The sequence below is a fragment of the Homo sapiens genome, chromosome 10 (assembly GCF_000001405.40).
Source record: "Homo sapiens chromosome 10, GRCh38.p14 Primary Assembly".
NCBI lineage: Eukaryota > Metazoa > Chordata > Mammalia > Primates > Hominidae > Homo > Homo sapiens.
In genome coordinates, this window is record NC_000010.11 from 96,174,094 (window position 1) to 96,192,237 (window position 18,144).

Below are 18,144 nucleotides of genomic sequence, written 5' to 3' on the forward strand. Positions count from 1 at the left end.
TTAGAGGGAAATTTATATCTGTGAGTATATTTAAAAAATAAAAAAACTTACTGCAACAGAACTGTACACTTAAAAATGACTAAAATGGTAACTTTTATGTATACTTACCACAATAAACAAGAAGAAAGATTTCAAATTAATAGCATAACTTTATACTTTAAGGAACAAGAAAAAAAAGAGCAAAGTAAACCCAAAGCAAGTCAAAGGAAGAAAATCATAAAAATGAGATGGAAGGAAATTGCATTGAGAATAGAAAGACAATAGAGAACATAAAGGAAACCAAAATTTGGTTCTTATCAAAGGTCAACAAAATTGACAAGCTTTAGCTAGACTGGCCAAGAAAATAAGACTCAAATTACTAAAAACAGAATGAAAGAGTGGACAATACTACTGCTCTTACAAAATGAAAATGAATGTAAGGGAATACTATGAACAACTGAATGCCCAGTAGTTATATGACCTAGATGAAATTGACAAATTCCTAGAAAGATACAAAAACTATTTTAAAAAATGGCTTAAGAGGAAATATAAAATCAGAAGAAACCTATGACGAGTAAGGTATTGAAATGATACCACAAAAATTGTAAGAAAAACCCAGGTTTAGATGGCTTCAGAATACATTAGTAAAGTCTACCAAAAAAATTACAGATAGATAGATAGATAGATAGATAGCAATTCTTTACAAGCTTACAAAACATGGAATAGGTGTTATATATTGAATGTTTGAGTCCCCCACTCCCCCAAATGCATATGTTGGTGCTTTAACCTCCAATTAGGATGTGGGGCCTTAGGGAGATACTTAAGTTTAGATGAGGTCGTGAAGATAGAGCCCTCACAATGGAATTATTGCCCTTAAGAGTAAGGGACAGCATAATTTTTTTTCTCTGCCATGAGGATACAACAGGAAGTCCCCATTTGTAAGGCAGGAATTGGGGCCTCACTAGAACCCATCTATCCTGGCCGCCTGGTCTCAAACTTCCCAGCTTCCATAACTGTGGGAAATAAATGCCTGTTGTCTGAGCCACTCAGTCTATGATATTTTTGTTATAGCACCCAGAGCTGATTAAGAAATGTACACTTCCCAGCTCATTCTATGAGGCCAAAGACATCTAAAGAAAATTTCCTTATGAATATAGATGCAATAAAGACTAGTAAATCAAGCCTGGGGACATATAAAAATAAGTCACTGCAAGACATTAGTATCTGGGCCACCACTTTGTACTTGGGGCAATTCATGCCTTACATACCCACAGGATGGGTCCTGATTGCCAGCTGGGTGATGAGTAATCTGGTCCCAAAACCTCATCTTTACTTCCTGCTTTCTTGGACTACTTTAGGTACTAACTCTGTCAGTTGGGTCTTCTGGATAAGATGCTGACGTGGAGTTTGGAATGCAAGAAGTTTATTGGGCAGTAATGCTTGGGAAAATTTAAAGGAGAGGAAGGAGGATTGAGTTTAAGAAAAGCCAGCAAACCATAAGGCAGGTCTGATAACTGGAGAAAGAAAGGGGTTGGTGAGTGGAAGCCACATTGGTTATAGAGAGTCTCAGATTGTCATGCATCTCATATACAGTCAGCCAACCCAATGGGTATTTCAGGTCAAAGTCTGTCTTTTAGAAGAGTTCCATGTTGGGCAAAAATGTAGACTGAAGGGTGCTCAGGAAGACCATATATTTGTCTTGAATCCTGAGACAGATGCTGAAAGCCCTAATAGCTAGTGGCTGTCAACCTAATTGCACTCCTTGCAGCTGAATTACAAGTATTCCCTCCCTGCCTCCCTCCCTCCCTTCCTTCCTTCCTTCCTTCCTTCCTTCCTTCCTTCCTTCCTTCCTTCCTTCCTTCCTTTCTTTCCTCCTTCCTTTCTTTTGTTTTTTAGAGATAGGTCTTACTCTATCTCTCAGGCTGGAGTGCAGTGCAATCATTGTAACCTCAAATTCCTGGGCTCAAGCAATCCTGCCTCCTGAGTAGCTAGGACTTCAGGTGCATGGCACCCTGCCTGGTTATTATTATTTTTTAAGTTTTTGTAGAGACAGGGTCTATGTTGCCCAGGCTGGTCTCAGACTCCTGGCCTCAAGTGATCCTCCTGCCTTGGCTTCCCAAAGCAATGTTATAGATGTGAGCCACTACACTCAGCCTATAAATTTTTTCTTGAAGGGAGATCCAAGCTGTACACTTCCATGAATGCCACACTATAGGGCAATATTGAGTAGTAAAACATTTATGTAACTGGAGTCCCAGAAAAGGAGGAGAAAAGGGAGAAAAAAATATTTGAAGCAATAATAACTGAAAATTTTCCTTAAATTTTATGAAAATGATAAACCTAAAGGTCCAAGAAGCTACATGAAGCCCAAGCGGGAAAAGCATGAAGAAAACCATCCCAAACACATCATAATCACATTTCTGGCTGAGTGCCTATAATCCCAGCATTTTGGGAGGCTGAGATGGGAGGATCACTTGAGCCAGGAGTTTCAGACTACCCTGGGAAACATAGTGAGACCTTGTTTCTACAAAAAAACAAAACAAGGGTGGGCACAGTGGCTCATGCCTGTAATCCCAACACTGGGAAGCCAAGGCAGGAAGATCACCTGAGGTCAGGAGTTTGAGACCAGCCTGACCAACATGGTGAAACTCCATCTCTACTAAAAATACAAAAATTAGCTGGGCGTGGTGGCAGACACCTGTCATCCCAGCTACTCAGGAGGGCTGACGCAGGAGAATCACTTGAACCCAGGAGGCAGAGGTTGCAGTGAGCTGAGATCGTGCCACTGCATTCCAGCCTGGGTGACAGAGCGAGACTCTGTCTCAAAACAAACAAACAAAAAGCAATAAAAACAACTTAGCTAGGTGTAGTTGTGCATGCCTGTAGTCCCAGCTACTTCAGTGGCTGCAGTGGGAGGATACTTGAGCCCATGAGGTTGAGGCTGCAGTGAGCCATGATCATGCCACACTGCACTCCAGCCAGGGCAACAGAGTGAGTCTCTGTCTCAAAAAAAAAAAAAAAAAAATCACATTTCTGAAAGCAAGTTATAAAAAATTTAACAGAAGCCAGAGGAAGAAAGTACACATATGTGTTGAGAAACAAAGATAAGAGTTACTGCAGACTTACATCAGAAACTATGCAATCCAGAAGATAGTGGAATGATATTTTTAAAATATTGAAGGGAAAAATAAGTCATCCTAGAATTCTATGTCTAGTGAAATCATCTTTCAAGAATGAAGACAAAACAAATACAGTTTAACATAAGAGAAATCCAAGATAATTCAGCACAACTGCGCTACCTTAAATATTAAGAGAAATTTTTTAGATAGAAGAAAAATGGTATCTTATCTACACAAAGGAATTAAGAGCACTGGACTTTTCCCTCATTGTTTAATTTCTTTTAAAGAAAATCATTGAAAGCAAAAATAATAACATATTATAGGATTTATTACATGTAGGAGTAAAATGTATGACAACAGTAGCACAAAGGCAGGGAAGGGGAAATGGAGGAGTACTGTTGTATTTGAAGATAGACTGTGATAAGTCACATATGTGTATTGTATAGCCTAGAGGAACCATTGTAAAAAACATGTAATTACTAAGAGAATATTGAAGATAAAATAGATTTTAAAACCTCAAGCCAACAGAAGGCACAAAATGGAAAACAAAAACTGGTGGGAAAATATAGAAAACAGAGATGGCAGCTTTAAACCCAATTATATCAATGTTATAAACACTCCAATTAAAAGGCAGAAATTTGTCAGGATGAAAAAATGTAGACCAGAAAAAAATGATACTAGGGATAAAAAGAAATACCTCAATGATAAAGAGTTCCATTCATTAAGAAGACATAACTATCCTAAAAGTCTATGCATATAGTACCAAAGCTTCTAAATACATGAAGTAAAAGCGACAGAACTATAGAGAGAAATTGACAAATCTACAATTATAGTTAGCTATTCCAATACTCCTCTCTCAGTAATTGATAGAACAACTAGGCAAAAAGAAATCAGTAATGACATAGAAGACTAGAGCCATATTATCAGTCAACTTGAACTAAATGATTTTACAGAACATTCCATCTGAAATTAGCAGACTATGCCTTCTTCACAAGTCCATGTAGAACATCCACTAAATTTACAAGTTTCAATAAATTTAAAAGGATTGAATTCATGCAGAGTATGTTATATCCTTAACAGAATTCAATTAGAAATCAATCTCAGAACAATCCTTGGAAAATTCCTGAATACATGGAAATTAAACAGCCCTTTTATGATTAACCCATGAGTTAAAGAAGAAGTCACAGGGGAAATTTAGAAATATTTTTAAGCGAATGAAATTGAGAAATCTATATTACAATTCATTGAATGTTACTAAACCAGTGTTTGGAGGGACATTTTAAACTTCAGATACTTGTATTAGAAAACAATAAAGGTTTACAGTCAATTATGTAAGCTTCCATCTTAAGAAAGTATGGAAAGAAGAGCAAATTAAACCTAAAATGAGCAGAAGAAAGGAAATAATAACATTATTTATGGTAATCAATGAGTAGAAAACAGACAAACAATAGGGAAAATTAATGAAATGAAAACTTGGTTCTTTGCAAAGGTCAATAAAATTGATAAACCTTTAGCTAGATGAATCGAGAAAAATGTTAAAGAGGGGACATTACTACAGATCTGACATATCTTAAAAGCATTATATTAGAATATATATTAGACTATGTTATACAAATAAATTTGGTATCCTAGTTGAAATGGACAAATTCCTTGAGAGACAAATTAACAAAACAAAAATAGAAAATCACAATAGCCTATATCTATTAAAAAATTGAAATCATAATTGAAAACCTTCACACGAAGAAAGCTCCAGCCCAGATGGCTTCATTGGTGAACTCTATCAAATGTATTAGGAATAAATAATATCAATGCTGCACAAATTCTTTCAAAAAATAGGGGAATATTTTTATGTCATTTTATGAGTCCAGCACTATCCTGATACTAAAATTTGATGAAGACATTGTAAGTAAAGAAAACTACAGACCAGTGTTCCCTATGGATGTCTATGTTAAAATCCTTAATGTATTAGCATTAAAAACCCAGCAATATATAAAATGGATACTGTATGTTAAATAGGGTTTACTGCAGGCAAGAAAAATAAAATATTCACAATACATATGTCTGTCAAGGGACTTATGTCTAGAAAATATAACATTTTTACCATTTAATAAAAAACCTAATTTTTAAAATAGACAAAGGAACAGATTCCTCAAAAAAGAGGATATATGGGCACATGAAAAGATACTCAGTATCATTAATCATCAAAAAATTGCTAATTAAAGCCACAATAAGATACTACTACACAGCTAGTAGAATGGCTAAAATTAAAACTGACAGTATCAAGTACTGATTAGGGTGTGAAGCAACTGAACTCTCATACATTGCTGATGTCCCCATAGAGTTTATCCAAAGTACACCCACTTTATAAACATTTTGGCAGTTTCTTATAAACATGTATTTTCTATGTGACCCAGGATTATACTCCTAGATATTTTTTCTAAGAGGAATGAAAACACAGAAACTTCCACACAAAACCCTAACATACATACTGACAGACATACAGCAGGCTCAATAAATGTTCACTGGTTGAATGAAAAAATAACACTTTTGAATCTTTTACAATTCTTCTTCTTCTTCTTCTTCTTCCTTTTCTTCTTCCTCCTCCTCCTCCTCCTCTCCTCCTTCTCTTTCTCCTTCTCCTCCTCCTCATCCTTCTTCTTTTCTTCTTTTTTTCTTCTTCTTTCTTTCTTTCATTTTTTTTTTTTGACATGGAGTCTCGCTCTCTAGCTCAGGCTGGAGTGCAGTGGCACAACCTCGGCTCACTGCAACCTCTGCCTCCTGGGTTCAAGCGATTCTCCTTATTTGGCCTCCTGAGTACCTGGGATTACAGGCAACTGCCATCACGCCTGGCTGATTTTTGGTATTTTTAGTAGAGAGAGGGTTTCACCCTGTTGGCCAGGTTGATCTCAAACTCCTGACCTCAGGTGATCTGCCTGTCTTGGCCTCCCAAAATGCTGGGGTTACAGGCATGAACCACAGCTCCAGCCTCTTTTTTTTTTTTTTTTTTTTTTTTAATAGAGATGAAGTGTTGCTATGTTGCTAAGCCTGGTCTCAAATTCCTGAATTCAAGTGATCCTCTGCCTTAGCCTCCCAAAGTGCTATAATTACAGGTGTGAGCCACTGTACCCAGCCTTGAGCTTTCACAATTTTTTCATCTTTTTTTTTTATATATACTTTAAGTTCTAGGGTACATGTGCACAACGTGCAGGTTTGTTACATATGTATACATGTGCCATGTTGGTTTGCTGCACCCATTAACTCGTAATTTACATTAGGTATTTCTCCTAATGCTATCCCTCCCTCCTCCCCCCACCCCACAATAGGCCCCAGTGTGTGATGTTCCCTGCCTGTGTCCAAGTGTTCTCATTGTTCACTTCCCACCTATGAGTGAGAACATGCGGTGTTAGGTTTTCTGTCCTTGCGATAGTTTGCTCAGAATGATGGTTTCCATCTTCATCCATGTCCCTACAAAGGACATGAACTCATCCTTTTTTATGGCTGCATAGTATTCCATGGTGTATATGTGCCACATTTTCTTAATCCAGTCTATCACTGATGGACATTTGGGTTGGTTCCATGTCTTTGCTATTGTGAATAGTGCCGCAATAAACGTACATGTGCATGTGTCTTTATAGCAGCATGATTTATAATTCTTTGGGTATATACCCAGTAATGTGATGGCTGGGACAAATGGTATTTCTAGTTCTAGATCCTTGAGGAATTGCCACACTGTCTTCCACAATGGTTGAACTAGTTTACACTCCCACCAACAGTGTAAAAGTGTTCCTATTTCTCCACATCCTCTCCAGCACCTGTTGTTTCCTGACTTTTTAATGATTGCCATTCTAACTGGTGTAAGATGGTATCTCATTGTGGTTTTGATTTGCATTTCTCTGATGGCCAGTGATGATGAGCACTTTTTCATGTGTCTGTTGGCTGCATAAAAGTCTTCTTTTGAAAAGTGTCTATTCATGTCCTTCACCCACTTTTTGATGGGGTTGTTTGATTTTTTCTTGTAAATTTGTTTAAGTTCTTTGTAGACTCTGGATATTAGCCCTTTGTCAGATGGATAGATTGCAAAAGTTTTCTCCCATTCTGTAGGTTGCCTGTTCACTCTGATGGTAGTTTCTTTTGCTGTGCAGAAGCTCTTTAGTTTAATTAGATCCCATTTGTCAATTTTGGCTTTTGTTGCCATTGCTTTTGGTGTTTTAGTCATGAAGTCCTTGCCCATGCCTATGTCCTGAATGGTATTGCCTAGGTTTTCTTCTAGGGTTTTTATGGTTTTAGGTCTAACATGTAAGTCTTTAATCCATCTTGAATTAATTTTTGTCTAAGGTGTAAGGAAGGGATCCAGTTTCAGCTTTCTATATATGGCTCGCCAGTTTTCCCAGCACCATTAATTAGGGAATCCTTTCCCCATTTCTTGTTTTTGTCAGGTGTGTCAAAGATCACATGGTTGTAGATGTGTGGTGTTATTTCTGAGGCCTCTGTTCTGTTCCATTGGTCTATCTGTTTTGGTACCAGTACCATTCTGTTTTGGTTACTGTAGCCTTGTAGTATAGTTTGAAGTCAGGTAGCGTGATGCCTCCAGCTTTGTTCTTTTTGATTAGGATTGTCTTGGCAATGCGGGCTCTTTTTTGGTTCCATATGAACTCTAAAATAATTTTTCCAGTTCTGTGAAGAAAGTCATTGGTAGCTTGATGGGGATGGCATTGAATCTATAAATTACCTTGGGTAGTATGGCCATTTTCATGATATTGATTCTTCCTCTCTGTGAGCATGGAATGTTCTTCCATTTGTTTGTGTCCTCTTTTATTTCATTGAGCAGTGGTTTGTAGTTCTCCTTGAAGAGGTCCTTCACATCCCTTGTAAGTTGGATTCCTAGGTATTTTCTTCTCTTTGAAGCAATTGTGAATGGGAGTTCACTCATGATTTGCCTGTCTGTTATTGGTGTATAGGAATGCTTGTGATTTTTGCACATTGATTTTGTATCCTGAGACATTGCTGAAGTTGCTTCTCAGCTTAAGGAGATTTGGGGCTGATACAACGGGGTTTTCTAGATATACAATAATGTCATCTGCAAACAGGGACAGTTAGACTTCCTCATTTCCTAATTGAATACCCTTTATTTCTTTGCCTTGCCTGATTGCCCTGGCCAGAACTTCCAACACTATGTTGAATAGGAGTGGTGAGAAAGAGGGCATCCCTGTCTTGTGCCAGTTTTCAAAGGGAATGCTTCCAGTTTTTGCCCATTCAGTATGATGGTGGCTGTGGGTTTGTCATAAATAGCTCTTATTATTTTGAGATATGTTCCATCAATACCTAGTTTATTGAGAGTTTTTAGCATGAAGGCTGTTGAATTTTGTTGCAGGCCTTTTCTGCATCTATTGAGGTAATCGTGTGATTTTTGTCTTCTGTTTATGTGATGGATTATGTTTGCTGATTTGCATATGTTGAACCAGCCTTGCATCCCACGTATGAAGCCAACTTGATCATGGTGGATAAGCTTTTTGATGTGCTGCTGGATTCGGTTTGCCAGTATTTTATTGAGGATTTTTGCATCGATATTCATCAAGGCTATTGCTCTAAAATTGTTTTTGTTGTGTCTCTGCCAGGCTTTGGTATCAGGATGATGCTGGCCTTATAAAAAGTGTTAGGGAGGATTCCCTCTTTTTCTATTGATTGTAATAGTTTCAGAAGGAATGGTACCACCTCCTCTTTGTACCTCTAGTAGAATTTGGCTGTGAATCTGTCTGGTCCTGGACTTCTTTTGGTTGGTAGGCTATTAATTATTGCCTCAATTTCAGAGCCTGTTATTTGTCTATTCAGGGATTCACTTCTTCCTGGTTTAGTCTTGGGAGGGTATATGTGTCCAGGAATTTATCCATTTCTTCTAGATTTTCTAGTTTATTTGTGTAGAGGTGTTTATAGTATTCTCTGATGGTACTTTGTGTTTCTGTGGGATCGGTGGTGATATCCCCTTTATCATTTTTTATTGCATCTGTTTGATTCTTCTCTGTTCTTTATTAGTCTTGCTAGTGTTCTATCAATTTTGTTGATCTTTTCAAAAAAACAGCTGGATTCATTGATTCTTTGAAGGTTTTTTTGTGTCTTTAACTCCTTCAGTTCTGCTCTGATCTTAGTTATTTCTTGCCTTCTGCTAGCTTTTGAATGTGTTTGCCCTTGCTTCTCTAGCTCTTTTAATTGTGATGTTAGGGTGTCAATTTTAGATCTTTCCTGCTTTCTCTTGTGGGCATTTAGTGCTATAAATTTCCCTCTACGCACTGCTTTAAATGTGTCACAGAGATTCTGGTACTTTGTGTCTTTGTTCTCATTCATTTCAAAGAACATCTTTATTTCTGCCTTCATTTTGTTATTTACCCAGTGGTCATTCAGGAGCAGGTTGTTCAGTTTCCATGTAGTTGAGCGGTTTTGAGTGAGTTTCTTAATCCTGAGTTCTAATTTGATTGCACTGTGGTCTGAGAGACAGTTTGTTGTGATTTCTGTTCTTCTGCATTTGCTGAGGAGTGCTTTACTTCCAACTATGTGGTCAATTTTGGAATAAGTGCAATGTGGTGATGAGAATAATGTATATTCTGTTGATTTGGGGTGGAGAGTTCTGTAGATGTCTATTAGGTCTGCTTGGTGCAGAGCTGAGTTCAAGTCCTGGATATCATTGTTAACCTTCTGTCTCGTTGATCTGTCTAATATTGACAATGGGGTGTTAAATTCTCCCATTATTATTGTTGGGTATCTAAATCTCTTTGTAGGTCTTTAAGGACTTGCTTTATGAATCTGGGTGCTCCCGTATTGGGTGCATATAGATTTAGGATAGTTAGCTCTTCTTGTTGAATTCGTCCCTTTACCATTATTTAATGGCCTTTTTTGTCTCTTTTGATCTTTGTTGGTTTAAAGTCTGTTTTATCAGACTAGGATTGCATTTTTTGCTTTCCATTTGCTTGGTAGGTCTTCCTCCATCCCTTTATTTTGAGCCTATGTGTGTCTCTGCACGTGAGATGGGTCTCCTGAATACAGCACACTCATGGGTCTTGACTCTTTATCCAATTTGCCAGTCTGTGTCTTTTAATTGGGGCATTTAGCCCATTTACATTTAAGGTTAATATTGTTACATGTGAATTTGATCCTGTCATTATGATGTTAGCTGGTTATTTTGCCCGTTAATTGATGCAGTTTCTTCCTAGCATCTATGGTCTTTACAATTTAGCATGTTTTTGCAGTGGCTGGTATTGGTTGTTCCTTTCCATGTTTAGTGCTTCCTTCAGGAGCTCTTGTAAGGCAGGGCTGGTGGTGACAAAATCTCTCAGCATTTGCTTGTCTGTAAAGGATTTTATTTCTCCTTCACTTATGAAGCTTAGTTTGGCTGGATATGAAATTCTGGGTTGAAAATTCTTTTCTTTAAGAATGTTGAATATCGACCCCCACTCTCTTCTGGCTTGTAGAGTTTCTGCTGAGAGATCTGCTGTTAGTCTGATGGGCATCCCTTTGTGGGTAACCCGACCTTTCTCTCTGGCTGCCCTTAACATTTTTTCCTTCATTTCAACCTTGGTGAATCTGACAATTATGTGTCTTGGGGTTGCTCTTCTTGAGGAGTATCTTTGTGGCATTCTGTGTATTTCCTGAATTTGAATGTTGGCCTGCCTTGCTAGGTTGGGGAAGTTCTCCTGGATAATATCCTGAAGAGTGTCTTCCAGCTAGGTTCCATTCTCCCTGTCACTTTCAGGTACACCAATCAAACGTAGATTTGGTCTTTTCACATAGTCCCATATTTCTTAGAGGCTTTGTTCATTTCTTTTTACTCTTTTTTCTCTAAACTTCTCTTCACACTTCGTTTCATTAATTTCATCTTCAATCACTGATACCCTTTCTTCCCTTGATCGAATCAGCTGCTGAAGGCTGTTCATGCATCACGTAGTTCTCGTGCCATGGTTTTCAGCTCCATCAGGTCATTTAAGGTCTTCTCTACACTGTTTATTCTAGTTAGCCATTCGTCTAATCTTTTTTCAAGGTTTTTAGCTTCCTTGTGATGGGTTTGAACATCCTCCTTTAGCTCGGAGAAGTTTTTATTACTGACCTTCTGAAGCCTACTTCTGTCAGTTCATCAAAGTCATTCTCCGTCCAGCTTTGTTCCGTTGCTGGCGAGGAGAGGAGCTGCAATCCTTTGGAGGAGAAGAGGCACTCTGGCTTTCAAAATTTTCAGCTTTTCTGCTCTGGTTTCTCCCCATCTTTGTGGTTTTACCTACCTTTGCTCTTTGATGATGGTGACCTACAGATGGGGTTTTGGTGTGGATGTTCTTTTTGTTGATGCTGATGCTATTCCTTTCTGTTTGTTATTTTCCTTGAACAGTCAGTCCCCTCAGCTGCTGGTCTGCTGGAGTTTGCTGGAGGTCCACTCCAGACCCTCTTTGCCTGGGTATCACCAGCAGAGGCTGCAGAACAGCAAATATTGCTGCCTGATCCTTCCTCTGGAAGCTTCGTCTCAGATGGGCACCCGGCTGTATGAGGTGTCAGTCGGCCCCTACTGGGAGGTGTCTCCCAGTTAGGCTACACAGGGGAGGACATTTAAGTCTGCAGAAGTTTCTGCTGCCTTTTGTTCAGCTATGCCCTGCCCCCAGGGGTGGAGTCTACAGAGGCAGGCAGGCCTCCTTGAGCTGCAGTGGGCTCCACCCAGTTCGAGCTTCCAGGCTGCTTCATTTACCTATTCAAGCCTCAGCAATGGCAGACGCCTCTCCCCCAGCCAGGCTGCTGCCTTGCAGTTCAATCTCAGACTGCTGCACTAGCAGTGAGCAAGGCTTCGTGGGCGTGGGACCTGCTGAGCCAGGCGCCGGATATAATCTCCTGGTGTTCCATTTGCTAAGACCATTGGAAAAGTGCACTATTTGGATGGCAGTGTCCCGATTTTCCTGGTACAGTCTGTCACAGCTTCCCTTGGCTAGGAAAGGGAAATCCCCTGACCCCTTGTACTTCCTGGGTGAGGCAATGCCCCACCCTGCTTTGGCTCGCCCTCCATGGGCTGCACTCCAACCAGTCGCAGTGAGATGAACCAGGTACCTCAATTGGAAATGCAGAAATCACCTGTCTTCTGCATCGATCACACTGGGAGCTGCAGACCGGAGCTGTTACTATTCAGCCATCTTGGAATGAACCAGCTTTTACAATTTTTAATATGCTCATGGAACAATAACATAAAGTAGGTTGCTTTTTTTTTTGACGGAGTCTCTCTCTGTCATCAGACTGGAGTGCAGTGGCACGATCTTGGCTCACTGCAACCTTCGCCTCCTGGGTTCAACTGATTCTTCTGCCTCAGCCTCCTGAGTAGCTGGGACTACAGGTATGTACCACCATGCCCAGCTAATTTTTGTATTTGTAGTAGAGACGGGGTTTCACCATGTTGGCCAAGATGGTCTTGATCTCTTGACCTCATGATTCGCCTGCCTTGGCCTCCCAAAGTGCTGGGATTACAGGTGTGAGCCACTGCGCCTGGCCTAGGTTGCATTATTATCTTCATTTTACAAATAGAGAAACCAAAACAAATAACTTTCCCAAGTTCACACAATCTGTTATTGGTAAAGCTGGGATTAGAATTATTGCAACTTACACCAAATAACTTGCGCTAAACCATAGCAATATCCTTCTCGTCTAATGGAGGAGTTACTTTTAGGGTCATTCACATATTTAGTAGAATAATATGTCCATCTTGATGCATCAAAGGTTAAGAAAAATGTTGAGTCCTTAGTCTTGGATGTTTGGCTATTTTGTCCATGGATAGGCCACAGAGGCCCAGGAATCTCATGATATTTGATGTGAGTTTCTGTGTATATACATAAATGAATTTTTCCTCAGGCCAAAGACCCACAGTTCTCATCAGATTCTCAAAGAATTTTGTAACTACTAAAAGATTAAGAACCACAGATGTAGAGAAAATATTTGAGATTTTCCTAATACACAATTATAATTACTAAGTGTTCTAAAATATTTATAGATGGGTTCATTTAAAGAGTTATCCACAGATCACTTTTTATGTCTGCAAAGAAGATTTTGGTTAGGGGACTAGGAGGTAATGTTTATCAGGCACCACTAGCTTACTTTAGCTCTTGAATCATTACTGGAAAAATATTGTTTACCCTTACCTAGAAATAGAGGCTGAGTTATATGGTGTCTTAAGACCATTTTGAAGGAGAGGAATTCAGTCCTTTTTTAAGAACATGTCTCAGGTAGTGCTGGTTTTGCCTCACATCGCTGAATTCTGTTCTCTGGGACTTTCTTTTAGGCAAGACTATCCCAGCTACTACAGTAAGAGTAGTTTAGCTCCCAGAGTGCAAGGTCTCCAAACCATTGCCCTGGCTAACTTATGATAACACACAATCAGGCTTGTGCTGGACACAGGCGTAGCTTTTTCATGTCTATTGTCCTTTTGAACAAACTTGAAAATCTTTCCTACTACCATAGCTGCAATCTACTTTTCAACAGAAGACAAGAACTGGGGTGTGGTTTTTTTCCTTCTTCAGCTGCTACACATGTACTTCTTGACTAGTGTCTCCTATTCCACCACCTAGCTTGCCTGAAAATTTCTTTATGCAAAACCATTTGTTTGTCAGCCATTGAGACATTGAGATCACAGACAGGTGTTTGAAATTTCTTATTTGTTTATTTTGAGACAGAGTCTCACTCTGTGGCCCAGGCCAGAGTGCAGTGGCATGATCTTGGCTCACTACAACCTCCGCCTCCCAGGTTCAAGTGATTCTCATGCCTCAGCCTCCTGAGTAGTAGCTGAAATTACAGGCGAGTGCCACCATGCCCAGTTAATTTTTTCTAGTTTTAGTAGAGATGGGGTTTCCCTGTGTTGACCAGGTTGGTCTTGAACTCCTGGCCTCAAGTGATCCACCTGCTTCGGCCTGCCAAACTACTGTGATTATAGGTGTAAGCCACCATGCCCAGCCTCTTAAAGACTTTTCTAATCTCATCAAGAATACCACTTGCAGAGGTGGGCTTTAGAGAAGCAGGTGGGATCACCCTCAGTGGACTCTTCTGCAAGATGAGGGAAAAGACTGGCATGTTGGATTGGGTAGTTCTCCCAGCTTTGGGGAGGAGTAGAGCCCTTAGCAGAGAATGGCCTATCTCTCAGAAATTCTCCCAGCCTCTGCTCCAAGAAATCCACCACGCAGTACTGTATGTCAACCAACTGAGGATTAGTATAATCTTAACAGCTATGCTATTACCTAGCTGGAGTAGGACACTTGGAGGAGGAGAGGAAGAATGAGGCATAAGAGGTTGTTATAGAGCCAGGGTTGCTGTGGTAGCAGTGGGAATTAATGAGGATTTACTTAAATAGAAAATAATTCCGTGTAACACTGAGGAAAACTGAAGCTAGAGAGCTGATGCCACATACTACAAACAGATGCTTTGCTTTACCAAAAAATTACCCCAGTTTCCCAGTTTAAATTGTGAGTCATCCTTTCTAGTACATTCAAAATGATTCAATGGTTTTCCTAAAAGGAGAAAAAAAACCTTTCCATACAAAATTTCCCAAACCCCTATATACCTGAATGTAAAAAATGCATATAAATTTTATTAGGTTTCTATGGCCGCCATAATAAACTGGGTGGCTTAAAAAGCCAGAAATTTATTGTCTTCAAGTACTGGACACTCAAAGTCCAAAATCAAGGTGCCACCAGGGCCATGCTCCCTCTAAAACCCGGAGGGAAGTCTGTTCTTGCCTCTTCCTAGCTTCTGATGGTTTGCAGGCAATCTTTGGTGCTCCCAGGCCTACAGATGCATCACTCCAGTCCCTCATCTTCATGTCGTAATCTTTTTTTTCAATAGAAACCATGCTACTTTATTAAAATGCCAAGTTTTAGTTCACATGTATATTTTTGTCTCCCCACCATTTCCATGTTCTGACCACTGCTACTACTATGTCCTATCATAACATTCCATACATATTTAAAACCAAGCAAAGGGTGAAGTTCCATCTTTAATAATGAAACAGGCATTTTGGACAACACATTCTTGGCAATGGAACCTGGACAACATTTATTAAACACAGTAGGGAAAGTTCTCACTCTGCATTATAGAAAGGACAGCCAGATATTGACTGTTAGAGAAATGAAATAAGATGGAAAAATGTTAACAAATTGTTTAAACTATTTTCTAAAGAGACTTCCTCCACTGCCAGGATCTTGAATAGTCTCCTGGTCAGTTGTCCGGAAGCAATTCTTCACATAATTGATGAACTTGGCTTCCACTTTGGGAAGAGAACCACCTTTTTCTATACTTGCTTGCATTTTTGATTTAATGTCTTCTACAGAACTAGGCCCTTTTGGTGTTTTACGAGTTTTTTCCTGTTTTTTGAAGGATTCTTGTCCTTTTAATCTTGGTGTTGATGATGGGTTTGAGTGTTTTCTATTCTGATTTGACTTTTGTGCATTTTTGGCTGGAGTATGTAGATTTCTTCAATGGTGCTTTTTCTTCAGTTTCCTCATCATCAAAATCATCATCATCATCATCATCATCATCATCATCATCTTCATCAGCAGCAAGTTTTACTTTTATTCTCTGGAATCTTGCTACCACCTCCAGGGACAGATCACTTTCCAGATATCCTTAAGAGTTTCACATCCTCCTCCTCTTCATCTTCTGACTCTGCATCTTCCTCCACAGCTACTAAATGCTGTCCACTAATATGCACTGGCCCTGAACCACACTTCAACCATAAAAGCACTGGTGGTGTTATTTCAAAGACCCCAAGGGAAACTGTTGGCTGTACAGACATTTTCAAAGGTGCCAGTGTTATTTAATTGGACTGCCTTCATAATTCATTGCCTCTGCTTCAACAATGTGCAGTTCATCCTTTGCACCAGCCCCTAAACTGACCGTTCTTAAGGATAACTGGTGCTCATTTTCATCATTATCCACCTTAAAGTGATCATCTTTGTCGGCCTTTAGTTCACAACTGAAAAGATAGTTCTGGGCCTCAGGGGGCTCACGTCCATGTCCATCGAATCTTCCATCAGGTGGCGGCACACACTTAGGTGGGAGAGAAAGCAGACGGAGATAAACGACCACTGCTCAAGAGAACAGCCATACAGGATGGAATCACGCCAGTAGTATTGTTCCTGTGTGTCTCTTCATATAGTCTTCTCTCTGTGCCTGCATCCAAATTTCCTAATTTTATAAGGACACCAGCCATTGTATTAAGGCCCACCCTACTGACCTCATCTTACCTTGACTATATCTGTAAAGACCTCATTCCCAAATAAGGTCACATTCTGAGATATGTGGCCTTATGGATTAGGACTTCAACATATCTTTTTGAGGGGACCACAGTTCAATCTGTAACATAGGTGGCAATTATGAAAGTTTATGACATTTAAATATACAATTATCTTTAGAAGTGAGTCATGAGTTACCCTGAAATTATTACCTTCTGGCCTTTCAACATACTTTCATAGATTGCTATCTTATGCAGTGGCCAAGTGTGTTCCCCATTTAATTATTAGACTTAATTAGCTGCTTTATCACTTCACTGCTGTCTGAAGTACACAGTAGAAATATATGACAAAGTATGATACATTTCTGGGATGATCTAAGACCTTGGACCTGATTCTCCACGATGGTATCTCTTTTATTCCTTGGTGTTCACCAATGTCTGCTTTTCTGCTCTTGTTTTGTGGGATATTTCTCTAGGAACTGGCTTTTAGTCTAGCTTTGCTGTCATTCCACTTTGAAACTTGATATGGTTTGGCTGTGTCCTCACCCAAATCTCATCTTGAATTGTAGCTCCCATAATCCCCACGTGCCATGGGAGGGACCTGGTGGGAGGTAACTGAATCACGCGGGCAGGTTTTCCCATGTTGTTGTGATAGTGAGTAAGTCTCATGAGATCTGATGGTTTTATAAAGGGCAGTTCCCCTGCACATGCTCTCTTGCCTGCCACCATGTAAAACATGCCTTTGCTTCTTCTTTGCCTTCTGCCATGATTGTGAGGCCTCCCCAACCATGTGGAACTGTGAGTCCATTAAACCTCTTTTTTTTTTTTTTTTTTTATGTAAATCACCCAGTCTTGAGTATGTCTTTATTAGCAGCGTGATAATGGACTAATACAAACCTCATATCAAGTTTAGGTTCTATTTGATAGACATGTAGATCAAAGAGGGTATAATTATCTTTAGTAAGCAAAACTAACAGCATAATCCTAGACAAGAACTTATAGAAAGTTCATATCCATATATATATATATCCCATGGTTGAGAGTGCTCACAAAAAGGAACCATTACATCCTTCTTGCCTATACTTACAGATATCATACATTACCTTTAATACCTTATTTTCTACAAATTAAAATTTTAACCAAGACTTAATTGTCAAGCATTGGCAGTGGAGAGCCCAGCTACATTAGTGTACCAATGATCATTGTGGAGGTTTAAATTTCCAGCCACTTTGTTTTATGCAAGAGCATTATTTTCTTATTTTGATAATATACTTTACACTTATTTTTAAAAATAAAAATATTTATTTGGAAAATATTAGTAGCATGATAACTCAACCTCACCAGATATTAACAGTTCATCAGGTCAGGCAATAGAACAAGTCCACATGAGCTTCTTAAAAAGAAATGGATGACCACTTCAATAGCTGACTCCATCTTCCATTTTATTACTGGATGATTCATAATCCAAAATATGAAGTTTTGGGACTTTTTCTCAAAAGGAGAAACTTTGGGAAAGTGTCTGAAGCAATGGTATTGATCTTTTTTTTCCCCCTTTATGAAACTTTAACTGCATACTTCAGTCTGGTGGAATCTTTTGTGTTATTCTGACTGTCAATAAGAACCAAAGGACTATGTTGATGATTCCTGATGATTTCAGCAACACTTCCAAAGTACTAGAGGAAGAAAACATAGATGAATTATACTTTGGCATTTGTGTTAAATTTGAGCTCCACTCCTCCCATCTTCTCTCATTCTCAAGTTAGTAAAAGTTATTACACCCCAGCTGACATTCTGCACAAAAAAATCTAGTTTAACAAA

The 18,144-nt window shown here is 39.2% G+C and overlaps 2 protein-coding genes and 1 pseudogene across 10 annotated transcripts in view; 1 reads left to right on the forward strand and 2 right to left on the reverse strand.

Moving 5' to 3' along the window:
- The window catches only part of ZNF518A (zinc finger protein 518A), a 75,577-nt gene that overhangs the window by 44,379 nt on the left and 13,054 nt on the right, over nucleotides 1-18,144 (forward strand). The gene's annotated exons all lie outside the window — the stretch shown is intronic.
- BLNK (B cell linker) overlaps nucleotides 15,078-18,144 on the reverse strand; it is an 82,399-nt gene continuing 79,332 nt past the window's right edge. For all 9 annotated transcript variants that reach the window (NR_047680.2, NR_047682.2, NR_047683.2 and 6 more), the window contains one exon: nucleotides 15,078-17,999. Coding sequence is in view for 5 of the 9 variants with exons in the window: in NM_001258442.2 (NP_001245371.1) it covers nucleotides 17,880-17,999 (120 nt within the window). In the remaining 4 variants the exon portion in view is untranslated. The remainder of the gene's footprint in view (nucleotides 18,000-18,144) is intronic.
- Nucleotides 15,081-16,142, reverse strand: NPM1P25 (nucleophosmin 1 pseudogene 25; annotated as a pseudogene).